Below are 15575 nucleotides of genomic sequence, written 5' to 3' on the forward strand. Positions count from 1 at the left end.
GCCCACGCGCTGGACTCCGCTCTCAACCACGAGGACCGTCTGCACTTGCACCGAGCAAGCAGCGAAATGGCTGTGGCTTCGTACCGGTGACTCGCGTCTTGGAGATTTTAACACTCCTCAAGTCCGCAAGGGTGAGGGGGTCCAAGGGTGGCGAAGATCCCAAAGGTCTGGGACTCCTCCCTGCCCCGTCGTCCCCCATCCCTCGGCCTCGCCCGCCCCGGAGCTGTCCCAGGTCTCTGTCTCCTCCAGGAGGGAGCTTAACGGGTGTGGTGGACCTAAGTAAGGGCTGTCCTGCCTGCCTGCCGTGTGGTCCTGGAGGATGAGGCTTACCAAAGGCTCAAAACAGCGTCCCCGTGGAGTGACATGGTTAAAGTCTTGAAAGAAAAGAACTGTTGGCATTGAATTCTGTACCTAAGTGAAACAAACAAACAAACTGACTGACTGTGGTGGTTTACGCCTGTAATCCCAACACTTTGGGAGATCAAGGCAGGACGATCGCCTGAGCCCAGGAGTTTGAATCCAGCCTGGGCAACATAGGGAGGCCCTGTCTCAAAAGAAAAAAAAAAAGAAGAAGAAGATAGAAAAATGGACCAACGCCCAGCTGCAGTGTGCTGTGATAGCTCCACTGCACTCCGCCCTGGGTGACAGAGGGCAAATCTGTCTCTAAATACAAAAAAAAAAAAAAAAGACCAATAGACAGATGGAACAAATGAAAAACCAATAGCAAGATTAATTTAAACCCAACCATATCAATAATTACATTAAATATAAATGAAAAAATGCTTACAAGTAAAAGGCAGAGATTGTTAGAATGGATAAAAAAGCAAAACACAAGTATATAGTAAATATTAGAAAGCTATTGAAATATATAAACAGAGATAAGTTAAAAGTAAAAAGATGCGCCAGGCGGAGTGGTTCATGCCTGTAATCCCAGCACTTTGGGAGGCCGAGGGGGGTGGATCACCTGAGGTCAAGAGTTGGAGACCAAGCCTGACTAACATGGAGAAACCCCATCTCTACTAAAAATACAAAATTAGCCAGGTGGGGTGGCACATGCCCGTAATCCCAGCTACTTGGGAGGCTGAGGCAGGAGAATCGCTGGAACCTTGGAGGCGGAGGTTGCAGTGAGCCAAGATCGCACCATTGCACTCCAGCCGAGGCAACAAGAGCGAAATTCCATCTCAAAAAAAAAAAGTAAAAAGGTGGGAAAAGACATACCTTGACAAAACTAAATTTTAAAAAGTTGGAATGGCTACATCAATATCAGACAAAGTAGGTTTCAAAACAAAAAATACTGGCCCGTATAGTGGTTGACACCTGTAATCTCAGCACTTTGGGAGGCTGAAAAGGGAGGATTGAGCCCAGGAGTTTGAGACCAGCCTGGGCAACACAGAGAGATGTTATCTCTACAAAAAGTTTTAAAAAGATTATCAAAATGTGGTAGCATGTGCCTGTGGTCCCAGTTACTCAGGAGGTTGAGGTGGGAGGATCACCTGAGCCTAGGAGGTCAAGGCTGCAGTGAGCTGTGATCATACCACTACACTCCAACCTGGGCAGCAGATTGAGACCCTGTCTCAAATCAACAACAAAAACAACAACAAGAAAAACTACCAAAGACAAAGAGGGACCTATCATAATGACAGAGGTCAATTAACAAAGAAAATATAATCGTCAATGTATATGCAAATAAAAATAGAGCATCAAATACATGAAAAACAATAATAGAACTTAAGAAGAAATAGACAAATACAAAATTATAGTTGGAGGTTTCAACACACCACTCTCAACAGTTGTAGAACAGTTGTCAGTCATAATTTACAGAAACTCGGTAAAGGTATAGAAGACTTGAACAGCCCAGGCGCCGTGGCTCACGCCTGTAATCCCAGCACTTTGGGAGGCTGAGGCGGGTGGATCACGAGGTCAGGAGTTCAAGATCAGCCTGGCCAAGATGGTGAAACCCCGTCTCTACTAAAAATGCAAAAAATTAGCCAGGCGTGGTGGCGGGCACCTGTAATCCCAGCTACTCGGGAGGCTGAAGCAAAGAATTGCTTGAACCCAGGAGGCAGAGGTTGCAGTGAGCCGAGATTGCGCCACTGCAGTCCAGACTAGGTGACAGAGCAAGACTCCATCTCAAAAAAAAAAAAAAAAAGACTTGAACAATGCTATTAACCAAGTCCATATAAACAACATGAATGGAATATCCAACAACAGCAGAATATGCATCCAAGTGCACATCCACCAAGATATACTATATTTTGAGGCATAAAACAAGTCTTAATAAATGCAAAAGAGGCCGGGCATGGTGGCTCATGTCTGTAATCCCAGCACTTTGAGATGCTGAGGCAGGCAGATCACTTGAGGTCAGGCGTTCCAGATCAGCCTGGTCAACATGGTAAGAACCCGTCTCTACTAAAAATATAAAAATTAGACAGGCATGTTGGCATGCACCTGTAATCTCAGCTACTCGAGAGGCTGAGGCAGGATAATCACTTCAACCTGGGAGACAGAGGTTGCAGTGAGCTGAGATCATGCCACTGCATTCCAGCCTGGACAACAGAGTGAGATTCCGTCTTAAAAAAAAATAACAAAAATAAATTAACAGGCCAGGTGTGGTGGCTCACTCCTGTAATCCAAACACTTTTGGAGGTTGAGGCAGGCAGATCACCTGAGGTTAGGGGTTCTCTAGATCAGCCTGGCCAACATGGTGAAACCCCATCTCTACTAAAAGTACAAAAATTAGCCGGGCGTGGTGGCTCATGCCTATAATCCCAGTTACTCAGGAGGCTGAGGCAGGAGAATCCCTTGACCCCAGCAGGTGGAGGCTGCAGTGAGCCGAGGTTGCACCACTGCACTACAGCCTGGGCAACAGAGTGAGACTCCGTCTCAAAAAAAAGAAAAGAAAAAAATAAACAAATAAATTTGAAAGGATTTAAATAATACAAAGTACATCTCTGAACACAATGGAATTAAACTAGAAAATAATAACAGAACTTAGAGCCTGAGAGGGAACTGAAAATAAGTAAATAGGTAAATAAATAAATAGAAGAAAAAGGAAAAATAGAAAATAATAACGGAGTGATGTCTGGAAAATCCCCACGTATTTGGAAATTAAATAACCCATGGATCAAAGATGTAATCTCAAGGAAAATTAGATCATAATTTGAACTGAATTAAAGTAAAAACATGACATGTCAAATTTTCTGAGATGCAGCCACAGTAGTGCTAAGAGGGAAATTTATAGCACCACTTTGACATACTATAAAAGAAGAAATATCTCAAATCAATAATGTAAGCATTTACTTTTTTTTTTTGAGACAAAGTCTCGCTCTGTTGTACAGGCTGGAGTGCAGTGGTGCGATCTCGGCTCACTGCAATCTCGGTGTCCCAGGTTCAAGCAATTCTCGTGCCTCAGCTCTCGAATAGCTGGAATTACAGGCATGTGCCACCACACCTGGCTAATATTTGTATTTTTAGTAGAGACAGCGTCTCGCCATGTTGGCCAGGCTGGTCTCGAACTCCTGGCCTCAAGGGATCCTCCCACCTCAGCCTCCCAAAGTGCTGGGATTACAGGCATGAGCCACTGCACCTAGGTGGGTCTTTTCTTTAATTAAGTTGTAAGAGTCCTGTATCTATTGCAGCTACAAGTTTCTTTACAGATATGTGATTTGCAAAATACTATCCCATTCTGTGGCTTGTCTTTTCACTTTCTTGATAGTTCTCTGAAGCACGAACATTCTAAACTTTGATGGTGTTGATTTTACTTTTTCTTTTGCCACGTGTGCTTTTGGTGTCAATATCTAAGAAACCACTGCCTAATCCAAAGTCATACTTACTCCAGTATTTTCTTCTAAGAGTTTTACAGTTTTACCTTATACATTTAGGTGGGTGATTCATTTGAGTTAGTTTTTTTGTGTGTGGTATGGGGAAGGGGTCTCAAACTCCTGGGTTCAAGAGATTCCCCTTGCCTGGGCCTCCCAAAGTTCTGGCATTTCAGGCATGAATGAACCACCATGACCGGCCTGTTTTGTTTTTTAAAAACAACTGTATTGGCCAGGCGCAGTGGCTCACACCTGTAATCCCAGCACTTTGGGAGGCCAAGGGCAGACAGATCATGAGGTCAGGGGATTGAGACCATCTGGCTAACATGATGAAACCGCATCTCTACTAAAAAATACATAAAAAATTAGCCAGATGTGGTGGCACACGCCTGTAGTCCCACCTACTTGGGAGGCTGAGGCAAGATAATTGGTTGAACCCAGGAGGCGGAGGTTGCAATGAGCCAAGATCGCGCCACTGCACTCCAGCCTGGGCCACAGAGTGAGACTCCATCTCAAAAAAGAAAAAAACAACAAAAACAAAAACAAAAACAAAAAAACTACTGTATTGAGACATAATTCAGACACTATACAGTTGACTTAAAGTGATGATTTAATGCTGTTTCATGTATTCAGAGGTGTACAACCATCACAATCAATTTCAGAGCATCCTCATAAGTGCACCCAAAAGAAACCCTGTACTTATTAGCAGTGAATCTCTATTTCCTCGCAAACCTCCTCCCGGTCCTAGGCAAGCACTCATCTACTTTCTCTCTCTCAAACAGATTTGCCTATTCTGGACATTTCATACAGATCAAATCATGCAATATGAAACCTTTTGCAATTGGCGTCTTTAATTTTACAAGTCTTCAAGGTGCATTTACCTTGTAGGTGTTTCATTACTTCATTTTATTTACTTATTTATGTATTTAGAAACATGGTTTGCTCTGTCACCCAGGCTGCAGTGCAGTGATGCATAATCATAGCTCACTCCAGCCTTGAATACCTGGGCTCAAGCAATCCTCCCACCTCGGCTTCCTGAGTAGCTGGGACTACAGGTGTGTGCCACAGAACCCAGCTAATTTTCTTTTTATGTTTACTAGAGACAAGGTCTCACTTCTATGTCCAGACTGGTCTGGAACTCCTGTCTTCAATTAATCCTCCTGCCTTGGCCTCCCAAAGTACTGAGATTACAGGCGTGAGCTACTTTTTTATTATTTTTTTTAACAGCCGAATAATAGTCTGTTGTATGAATATACCACATTTTGTTTATCCTTTCATTCATTGATGGACATTTGGGTTGTTTTTACTTATTGGCTATTATGAGTAATGATATTGTGAAAACTCATGCCCAAGTTTTTTGTGGGGAGATATGTTTTCACTTCTCTTGGCTATATACCCACAAGTGGAACTGCTGAATCCTATGGTAATTTTATGTTTAATCCTCTGAGGAACTGCCAAACTATTTTCCAAAGTGGTTGTACCATTTTACATTCCCACCATCAGCATATGAAGATTCCAGTTTCTCTACGGCACTTCTATCGTCTGTCTGTCTTACTACTCCCATCCTAGTGGGTGTGAAGTAGTGGAAACACATTGTGGTTTTTATTTTTATTTCCCTCATGGGTAATGATGTTGAGCGCTTTCTCATCTGTCTACTGACCATCTGTATATCTTTGCTAGAGAAAGTTCTATTTGGATCCTTTGTTCATTTTTCAATTGCATTATTGATATTGTTATTGTTGAATGATAAGAGTTCTTTATATAATTCAAGCTTGTCCAACCCACGACCCGCAGGCCGCATGCAGCCCAAAGATGGCTTTGAATGTGTGGCCCGACACAAATTCATAAACTTTCCCAAAACATTATGAGATTTTCTTGTGATTTTTTTTTTTAAGTTCATCAGCCATCGTTAGTGTGAGTGTATTTTATGTGCGGCCCAAGACAATTCTTCTTCTTCCAGTGTGGCCCAGGGAAACCAAAAGATTGGACACCCCTGGTCTAGACAGAACATCATCGGGTAAATGATTTGCAAGTATTTTCTCCCATTCTGTGGGTTGTCATTTCACTTTCTTTATGGAGTCTTTAAAGTAAAAGAGTTCTAAACTTTGATGATGTCCAATTTAATTTTTCTTTTGTTGTTTGTGCTTCTGAGGAACAATTCCCCAATCCAAGGCCACAAGACTTATCTCTATATTTTCTTTTTCTTTCTTTGAGACAGACAGAGTCTTGCTCTGTCACCCGGGCTGGAGTGGAGTGGCACAATTTTGGCTCGCTGCAACCTCTGCCTCCTGGGTTCAAGTGATTCCGGTGCCTCAGCCACCACAGTAGGTGGGATTACAGGAGTGTGCCACCATCCTGGCCCTGTATTTTCTTCTAAAAGTTTTTATACTTTTAGCCTATACATTTAGGTCTATGACTCACTTTGTGTTTATTTTCTTATGTATGGTATGAGGAAGGGGTCCAACTTCATTCTCTTACTTGCAAATATCCAGATGTTGTTGAAGATGGTTCTTTTCGTTTCTTTTCTTTTCTTTTCTTTTTTGAGACAGAGTCTTGCTCTGTCGCCCAGGCTGGAGTGCAGTGGCGTGATCTTGGCTCACTGCAAGCTCCACCTCCTGGGTTCACACCATTCTCCCGCCTCAGCCTCCCGAGTAGCTGGGACTACAGGCACCCGCCACCACGCCCAGCTAATTTTTTGTATTTTCAGTAGAGACGGGGTTTCACTGTGTTAGCCAGGATGGTCGCGATCTCCTGACCTCATGATCCGCCTGCCTCGGCCTCCCAAAGTGCTGGGATTACAGGTATGAGCCACCGCGCCCGGCCTAAAGATGGTTATTTTCCTTGTTGAATTGTCTTGACGCTCTTTAAAATTAATTGACAATACCATGAAAGGGTTTACTGCTGGACTCTAAATTCTAGTCCATTGATTTATGTCTAGCCTTATGCTAGGACCACACTGTCTTTAGCATTGTAGTTGTTTTTTCTGTTTGTTTTTTGTTTTGTTTTGTTCGGAGAATGGAATCTCACTCTGTCACCCAGGCTGGAGTGCAGTGGCCTGATCTCGGCTCACTGCAACCTTCATCTCCCAGATTCAAGCAATTCTCCCTGCCTCAGCCTCCCGAGTAGCTGGGATTACAGGCGCCTACCACCACGCCCGGCTATGTAGTTTTGTAGTAAGTTCTGAAATCAGAAAGTGGGAGTCCTCCAACTGTGTTCTTTTTCAAGCATGTTTTGGGTATCCTGGGTGCCCTGAATTTGCTATGAATTTTAGAACCAGTTTTCCAACTTCTGTGTTCTCAAAAAAAAGCTGGCTGGGTGTGGTGGCTCATGCCTGTAATCCCAGCATTCGAGGCACCAAGTGGGGCACATCAACTGAGGTCAGGAGTTCAAGACCAGCCTGGACAACATGGCAAAACCCAGTCTCTACAAAAATACAAAAATTAACCAGGTGGGTGGCTCACACCTGTAATCCCAGCTACTCAGGAAGCTGTGGCAGGAGAATCACTTGAACCCAGGAGGTGGAGGTTGCAGTGAGCCGAGATTGCACCACTGCACTCTAGCCTGGGAGGCAGAGCGAGACTCTATATCAAAAAATTAAAAAAATAAAAATAAATAAAAAAGCCAGTTGGGATTTGGACAAAGATTATGTTGAATTTTCTTATCATCTTGGGGATTTTGTCATTTTAAGCAATTGAATTTTGCCCAAGGCCCTGGAAGCCCACCCCTTGCACCAGTGTGCCCAGGATGTGGGATATGGAGTCAAAGATTATTTTGGAGCTTTACATTTTCACGCCTGCCCTACTGGGTTTCAGACTTGCGTGGGCCTGTTGCCCCTTTCTTTTGGCTGATTCCCCTTTTGCAATGGGAATCTTACCCAGTACGGGTACCACCACTGTATCGTGGAAGCAAATGACTTGTTTGATTATACAGGTTCATAGGTGGATGAAACTTGCCTTGAGTCCCAGATGAGACTTTGGCCTTATGATTGAGTTGATGCTGAAACAAGTTAAGACTTTGGGTGACTATTGGGAAGGGATGACTGTACTTTGCAATGTGAGAAGAACATGACATTTGCGGGGGGGTGGTACTGGTACAATGATATCATCAGGGTATTTTGTCCCCTCCAAATCTCATGTTGCAATGTGATCCCCAATGTTAGAGGTGAGCCTGGTGGGAGGGGTTAGGGTATGGGGGCAAATCCCACATGAATGGCTTGGTGCCATCTGTATAGTAATGAGTGAGTTCCAGCTCTATGAGTTCACACAGGATCTGGTTGTTTAAAAGAGCCTGGAATTTCCTCCCCTGTCTGTCTCTTGCTCCCTCTCTCACCATGTGACACGCTGGCGCCGCTTCCCCCTCTGCCATGACTGTAAGCTTCCTGAGGCCCTCACCAAGAGCAGATGCCGGCACCACACCCCCTTGTACAGACTGCAGAGTGGTGAGCCAAATAAACCTCTTTTCTTTATAAATGACCCAGTCTCAGGTATTCTTTTATAGCAACGCAAACAGACTAACACACAGCACCCTGGGAGTTTTATTCTTCATTTGGTGGTGACTCTTCTATTAGGTTTTTGTCCAAATACTTCCATCCCTAAGAATTTACTGAGGCAGTTCTAAATTAAAGAAAATGTGAGTAACAAAAGATGTTACAGAAGAGCCTTGGGCAGCCTGAGAAACGATGGGCCTAGCGGAAGTAGTTGGGACATTCGTGAGTAACCAAATGCCAGGCTTGATTAAAGGCGTCCACGACAGCCGGCTCCAGGGGCCCTTCCTCTGCCGCTGCCAAGTTCTGCTCCAGCTGCTCCAGGCTGGACATGCCCAGGATGACCGCGTCCCCGTGGGCACCCTGCAAGGGAGACGGCCAGACTTCAACCCTCTTCTGCTGCACAGCGACTCTACTCACAGCCGTCCCAGCCACCTCCCTGCTGAGATTTGGGATCTCTTGTATCCCATATGTCCAGAAAGAACTTAAGGTGCCTTGGATAGCTGTACCCATGTGACGCAAAACCTGTATCCCTTCCCCTACTGCCACACGACGCTTCCAGACAGACCTACATTCACAGCCCAGTTCTGCCCCCCAGCAGCTGTGTAAACGCGGCTAAGTTATTAAACCTCTCTGAGATTCAATCCTCTTTTCTATTTTCAACATGGTTATGGGTGTGAAAAATTATGTAGAGCACTTAGCTCCCATTTATTGAGCACCTACTGTATATATGCCAGACACTATTGCAACATCTAAGGCTGGAGTTGGATATAAGTGAGGAAGACATGAGGCACTGAGAGAGGGAAACTCCAGCTCCCACCAAAAGGATGAGACTAGTGGGCTTTACAGTTAAACCTGTGTTAAAATGTCTGCCCCTTTCATAGCTGGGTGAAACTCAGTTTCCTCGTCAATAACACTGGGATAGTCATTTCATAAAGCTGAAGGAATAATGAAATCCCTGCAATGAAGCTCTCATTACAAAGCCTGGCACTCAGATACCATCAAAGACCAATGAGAAGGCCGAGCGCAGGGGCTCACGCCTATAATCCCAGCACTTTCAGAGGCTGAGGAGGGCGAATTGTCTGAGTTCAGGAATTTGAGACCAGCCTGGGCAACATGGTGAAACCCTGTCTCTACTACAAATACAAACAATTAGCTGGGCATGGTGGCGCACGCCTGTAATCCCAGCTACTGGGGAGGCTGAGACAAGAGAGTTGCTTCGGCCCAAGAGGCAGAAGTTGCAGTGACCCGAGATCATGCCACTGCACTCCAGCCTGGGTGACAGAGTGAGACTCTGTCCCCCCAAAAAAAAAACATAGAAAAAGACCAGTGGGAAGAATGTTTGTGAGAGTTGAAAGAAAGAGAAATTTCAGAGGAATCGATAAACAAATGTTTCAGCCTTCATCTAAAGATATTGCTGGTTCCCCTGGAAGGGAAGAAGCTGAGCGCACAGGGTCACTGGTTACCTGCAGCTGTGAGTGGTGGTACATCCACCGGAGGGTGGCCGAGGTCATGCTGGGGGCGCTGGCGCCATACGCGGCCTGCAGGGCCTTCTCCACCAGGGCAATGCCCTCAAAGTGGTGCTCCTTCCAGTAGCTGGGAAGGGGGGACGGTGGCACAGGTGTCAGGGCCACATTGGGAGCCACAACCAAAGAGCCAACCAGGGCCACTGTCCCACCCCACACCCTGCAGCCCTGAGGGGCAGGTGTTCTCTCTAGCCATGGGTCTCCCACTTTGCTGGGCAAGAGAACCACTCAGGATGCTGGGCCCCTCAGCAGAGACCTCAACAAATCTTTATTCCTGAGGACTCATCAGCCTGCTCTTATTTTCCTTAGGGACACAAAGGCCGCTAAGATGGGTCAGGACTCAGCCCCAGGCCTCCTGGACCTCCCTCCAGAGCTCCTTCTTTCCTTCCTAGCAGGTGATTGCTCAGGAAAGAGCAACGACTTCAAGACCCCGAGGTCCAGGGAGTCTCCTTTCCTCCTGGAGGTCCCAAGACAACAAGAAAACCGATGGAGGGTTTGGAAATTCCCGAAGAAATTCAGGGGAGTAGGTGCAGCAGCGAGGAAAGGCCTTACCCCAGGAGCAGCCCAGGACTTCATTCCACATAAAGCTGACCCCACCCCAGCCATCCACACCAAGCACCCACAGCTTACCGATTCCTGTACATCTCTGCCCAGGTATTCCCAAAGAAGCGGCCCACGGGCTGTTTCCCATTCTTGTCCTCATACTTGTACTTGCCGGTCAGCAGGCCCCCTGAGGGAAAGCAGCAATCAGCCCCGGGGCCTAGAGTGCCCCAGAAGCTGCCACATCCCTCAGGGCTCTGGTCTAGGGGAGGGGCAGGGACCCAGGAGGGCTGAAGATGCAGCCTTTACGTCTTTGACCTCAGAGGTCAAAGTTTGTCAAACCCTCCTTGCTTCCCAGGTCCTGGGCTGGGCATCTGTGGGTCGGGAATAGGCTGAGACAGGGCCAGGAATGCTCCACGTACCAGCCAGAGGGTTGAAGGCATAGAACCTCAGTCCAAAGTGCCTGAGGCAGGGGAAGAGCTCCGTTTCCACCTGCCGGGTGATGGCATTGTACATGCCCTGTAAGGAGAGGGGCCCCGGGGGAGAGGGTGGATGTGTCAAAAGAAGAGACTTCAAAATTACCCTTCCAGAACCCTTATTTCAGACCTTAACAATTCTAGGACTTTAACCGTCTGGGCGTATACTTATTCTAACTGGTGCTGGTGAAAGAAGCTTATGCCCATGGAAAATTCATTCATTCTGCCAACTTTCATGAGCACCAACTATGGGCTGGTTGTCAGATTTAGATTCTTAAGCCAAAAGGACAGGGTCCCTTCCCTCAAGGTTTTATAATAAGGTCAAGTATAAACAGTTATAATCAAGTCATGAGGCAATCATAATAGACTAGAAAGTTCTGTGACCAGTGCCTGGCACCAAGCAGGTGTGCAAATATTTGTGCAATGAATCATGAGGAGGTAAACAAGGACCTGAGGTCTCAGGGTCTTCTGGGCCCATCTAGAAAGGCTTCCAGAGGAAGAGACACGTATGTGAGACCTGAACCATTCTCTCACGGAAGGGGCGGTGGTGGGGGAAGGGCTTGTTCCAGGCTGAGTGCAGGGGAAGGTAGGGAAGGAAGGGTCCAAGGTGCACAGATAGGCAGGAAGGAAGCAGATGCCCAGTGGCCAGCCTGAGGAGCTTGAATGGCATCCTGAGGGTACCTGGGAGCCATCTGCAGGCTTTCAGCAGGGGAGTGGCTGCTATGCAGAGGGCACAGGGGGCAGTCAGAGGGGCAAAGACAGCCCAGGATGAGCAGGAGTTCTGGAGACCTTGGCCTCTGCAGCCCTGGCTCTCACCTGGTACACAGTGGGCAGGATCCAGCCGTTGCTCTTGCAGAGGGTACAGATCTCGGCCACTTCCCAGGCTGCATAGTTGGAGAGGCCAAGCTCCACGAACTTGCCCTGCTCAGGTGAGGCTCCAGTCAGAACATAGTGCAGCCCAGACCAGGAAAGGGAGGCCAGGGTGGGGCCCCTGGGAGTTGGGCTGTTCCCTGCTCCACCCTGGAACAGCCCTGGTGCCTCTGCTCTCACCATTAGGATCAGGATAAGGAGAGCAGCAGTGGACCACCTCCCAGAGCTCAGGGGTCCCCTCACCTCCTGGTGCAGCTGGTGGCAGGCACGCAGTGTCTCTTCCACCGGGGTGCTGTGGTCTGGCATATGCAGGTAGAAGAGGTCCACTCGGGGACACTGCAGCCGCTTCAGTGACGTCTCCAGCTGGAACCGGAGACTGTCAGGCTTCAGGGAGTTCCCAAACAGTGGAATGGCCTTGGTATCAATTTTCACTGAGAGGAAAGAGAAATGAAATTCAGGGCCAGGCGCCGTGGCTCATGCCTGTAATCCCAGCACTTTGGGAGACTGAGGCAGGCAAATCAGAAGGTCAGGAGTTCAAGACCAGCTGGACCAACATGGTGAAACCCCATCTCTAATAAAAACACAAAAATTAGCTGGGCATAGTGGAGCCCGCCTGTAGTCCCCAGCTAGTCCGGAGTCTGAGGCAGGAGAATTGCTTGAACCCGGGAGGCGGAGGTTGCAGTGAGCCGAGATTGTGCCACAGCACAATGTCTCACAGAGTGAGACTTCTCAAAAAACAAACAAACAAACAAAACAAACAACAAAAAAAAAGAATCTTAGTTCCTAGTGAACTGGACTAACAGGTGAGTGGAGAGTCCTCTTCCCACTTTTCACACTTAGAAAGTCACCTAGGCTGGCAGGAGGGCAGTCACTGGAGCCCTTGAGGCCTAGCAAAGAGCAGGTTTGAGGAACTATTCATATGGAATTTTTCCATTCCACCACCACCCCTCTGCTTCTCAATTGAATTTAACTTCAGATCAGATCTGAGGACTTTCGCCAGCCAACCTTGGACTCAGACAGAAGACAAAGAAGGATTAAAAAAGGAAAGAAAAAAAAATCAGAAATAAGGGCCAGGCAGAGGGTACAGATCTGTGGTGGCTCACACCTGTAATCTCAGCACTTTGGGAGGCCAGAGCAGGAGGATCACTTGAGCTCAGGGGTTTAAGACCAGCCTGGGCAACAAAGTGAGACTCCAGTTTCAATGAATAATACAAAAAATTAGCCGGGTGTGGTGCTACTGTAGTAGTCCCAGCTACTCAGGAGACTGAGGTGGGAGGATGGCTTGAGCCCTGAGAGGTCAAAGCTGCAATGAGCCCTATCGCACCACTCCACTCCAGCCTGGGCAAAAAAGCAAGACCCTGTCTCAAAAAAAAAAAAAAAATCAGAAATATGGTTAGAGCTCTCACTGAGTGGCAGCCGGGTGATCTAGAAAGAGCGTGGCACTGGGATGCACGCACAGGCCAGGTTCGTTCTGGATCTACCATGTGGTGAATCAGAGGAGAAATAAGACTCCACTCAGACACTCAGTGGAAGGAGGCAAATGGTGCTAATACTAAGAACAAACAAACAGCTAACATTTCCCAGCCCTCACTATGTGCCTGCCAGGCATCGGCCTAAGCACTGCAAATGGCATCAGACTGAGGGCGGCTCCTCCTGCCCCTATACACACATCCTCCCCTCCGGCCACACCTGCCTCCTCCAGCACCCGCGGCATTGCCAAAACACATTTGCCTTTCCACACCCATGCCCACTGCCCTGACGCCCTTGCCCCTTGTACTCTTCCTGGCAAACTCCTATCCATTCTTTCTTCACGGGGTCCCTCCCAGGAAGGGGTCACTCTGGGCTCCCCAGCCATCTCTAGAACTGGAGCTTCCTGGAGTGGGTTAGTGTCCATTTCTCTCCAATAGCCTCCGACAGAGCCTCCCACAGAGAGGGCAGTGAGACTCTGTACCACCCCAATCCCTCATCCCCCTGAGGGAGCTGCCAAGGCTTCCGGGCACTGCCACCCTTGTGAGGTGCCCTTGTGAGTACCACAAGGTACTCAGAGCAAAGTCCGGGGCCCCGAGCAGGCTGGCATGTGCAAAGGAGGAAGCAGATAGTGTGCTGGGTCCAAACTCTGATTTTGGACTGTGCCAGGGAGTGCCAGGCGGTAAGAACAGAATTTCTGCAGATCAGGCCCGTCAAGGGCACCTGGAGGGCACAGGTGGGGACAGGAGCTGCACAATGCCAGATCCCAGTGTTTTTTGTGCTCCAGAGAGGGGCTAGCCAAGTCATTCCAGGCAAGACCAAGTCATCCAGGCGTCAGTGAGGGTGCTGGCTACCTCCCGGAAGAGAAGAGAGACGAACAGAAGAGAAGACGAGAGAAAAGTTGTCCGGAGCTAGACGTGCCTAAGGAGCCTGGTGTTCCCAAGGCTGCGAGGTGAACAGGGGTGGGGGCGGTGGGGGGGACAAAACTTTGGGTGCTGCCCCGGGGCCAGGGAGAGCGGGGCGGTACACGGCTGTGGACAGGCTCAGCTCTGCACCGTGCAGGGGGAGGATCAGGGGCCACTGTTACCTCTGCAGTCGCTGCCGCCCAGCCGGAGCCCCAGGCCGCCAAGGATGGTCTCGGACTGGCCCTCGCTGTACACGAAGGCCGTGTCTATCTCGGTGTGGCCGCGCTCCAGGAAGGCGCGCGTGACTGCGGCGCTGGTGGGCGCGTCCATGCGGCGCCCCATCTCCATGGCGCCCAGCACCGTGGCTGGCCGGGCCCGCGACAGCTGCCGGGACATGACGGCGGCAACGGGAGACTGTGACAGCCCAGGAGCCGCGCGCAGCGGTCGGAAGCACCAGGCTCGGAGCGGGCGGCCTCGTGGCTTTAGAGACGGGCTCGGGCCCCGCCCACCGGCGGGTGCAGCTGAGGGCGCGGCCGAAGGTGCCCGACGCCGCCCACGAGCTCGACTCCACGCTCGGCTACTAGGACCTTCTGCACTTGCACCGAGCAAGCAGCGAAATGGCTGTGGCTTCGTACCGGTGACTCGCGTCTTGGAGATTTTAACACTCCTCAACGTCCCCAAGGGTGAGGGGGTCCAAGGGTGGCGACTATCCCAAAAGGCGGGGACTCTTCGGGCCTCCCTGCCCCGTCGTCCCTCCTTCCTCGGCCTTGCCCCGGAGCTGTCCTGGGTTTCTGTCTCCTCCCGGAGGGAGCGCTTACGGGGTGGGGTGGACCTAGGGCTGTCGCGCCTGCCGTGTGGTCCTGGAGAATGAGGCTTACCAAAGGCTCAAGACAGCGTCCCCATGGAGTGACATGGTTAAAGTGTTGAAAGAAAAGAACTGTTGGCATTGAATTCTGTACCTAAGTGAAAAAAAACTGACTGGCTCTGGTGACTTAACGCCTGTAATGCCAACACTTTGAGAGATCAAGGCAGGAGGATCACTTGAGCCCAGGAGTTTGAACCCAGCCTGGGCAACATAGGGAGGCCCTGTCTCAAAAGAAAAAAAAAAAGATAGAAAAATGGACCAGTGCCCAGCGGCAGTGAGCTGTGATAGCTCTACTGCACTCCACCCTGGGTGACAGAGGGCAAATCTGTCTCCAAATACAAAAGAAAAAAAAAGACCAATAGACAGATGGAACAAATGAAAAACCAATAGCAAAATTGATTTAAACCCAATCATATCAATAATTACATAAATATAAATGATGTAAATGCTCACAAGTAAAAGGCAGTGATTGTTAGAATGGATAAAAAAGCAAAACCAAACTATATGGTAAATACCAGAAAGCTATTCAAATATAAAAGCAGAGATAGTTTAAGAGCAAAAAGATGGGAAAAGACATACACTGACAAAACTAAATTTTAAGAAGTTGGAATGGCTAAGTGAATAT

At 48.4% G+C, this 15575-nt stretch overlaps 1 protein-coding gene and 1 long non-coding RNA gene across 4 annotated transcripts in view, besides 3 other annotated features; one reads left to right on the forward strand and one right to left on the reverse strand.

Moving 5' to 3' along the window:
* On the reverse strand, positions 1 to 14542 carry AKR7A3 (aldo-keto reductase family 7 member A3). 3 transcript variants are annotated; one of them, XM_011541046.4, is made up of 7 exons: positions 14268 to 14542; positions 11957 to 12144; positions 11660 to 11764; positions 10790 to 10886; positions 10458 to 10557; positions 9768 to 9897; positions 1 to 411 (listed from the first exon to the last, which is right to left on the reverse strand). In XM_011541046.4, exons 1-7 carry the CDS (start codon positions 14479 to 14481, stop codon positions 118 to 120), a joined length of 1128 nt encoding a protein of 375 aa, XP_011539348.1. In that variant the 5' UTR covers positions 14482 to 14542; the 3' UTR covers positions 1 to 117. The 3 variants fall into 3 exon arrangements, with proteins under 3 accessions (XP_011539348.1, NP_036199.2, XP_047305563.1); NM_012067.3 differs by lacking the exon at positions 1 to 411 and adding an exon at positions 8345 to 8664; XM_047449607.1 differs by lacking the exons at positions 1 to 411; positions 9768 to 9897; positions 10790 to 10886 and having other exon boundaries at positions 10459 to 10557.
* Positions 9399 to 10274: an enhancer, noted in NCBI's record as "H3K4me1 hESC enhancer chr1:19610121-19610996 (GRCh37/hg19 assembly coordinates)". NCBI's record gives its function as "activates a minimal SCP1, AML or CMV promoter by ChIP-STARR-seq in naive H9 embryonic stem cells {active_cell/tissue: H9 hESC(naive)}" and the evidence as "EXISTENCE:reporter gene assay evidence [ECO:0000049][PMID:30033119]".
* Positions 13775 to 14597: an enhancer, noted in NCBI's record as "H3K27ac-H3K4me1 hESC enhancer chr1:19614497-19615319 (GRCh37/hg19 assembly coordinates)". NCBI's record gives its function as "activates a minimal SCP1, AML or CMV promoter by ChIP-STARR-seq in primed H9 embryonic stem cells {active_cell/tissue: H9 hESC(primed)}" and the evidence as "EXISTENCE:reporter gene assay evidence [ECO:0000049][PMID:30033119]".
* The window catches only part of LOC124903867 (uncharacterized), a 17289-nt gene continuing 15545 nt past the window's right edge, over positions 13832 to 15575 (forward strand). The window contains exon 1 of the long non-coding RNA XR_007065521.1: positions 13832 to 14132. This is a non-coding gene — a long non-coding RNA (uncharacterized LOC124903867). The remainder of the gene's footprint in view (positions 14133 to 15575) is intronic.
* Positions 14598 to 15419: an enhancer, noted in NCBI's record as "H3K27ac-H3K4me1 hESC enhancer chr1:19615320-19616141 (GRCh37/hg19 assembly coordinates)". NCBI's record gives its function as "activates a minimal SCP1, AML or CMV promoter by ChIP-STARR-seq in naive H9 embryonic stem cells {active_cell/tissue: H9 hESC(naive)}" and the evidence as "EXISTENCE:reporter gene assay evidence [ECO:0000049][PMID:30033119]".

This window comes from Homo sapiens, chromosome 1 (genome assembly GCF_000001405.40).
Source record: "Homo sapiens chromosome 1, GRCh38.p14 Primary Assembly".
Lineage (NCBI taxonomy): Eukaryota > Metazoa > Chordata > Mammalia > Primates > Hominidae > Homo > Homo sapiens.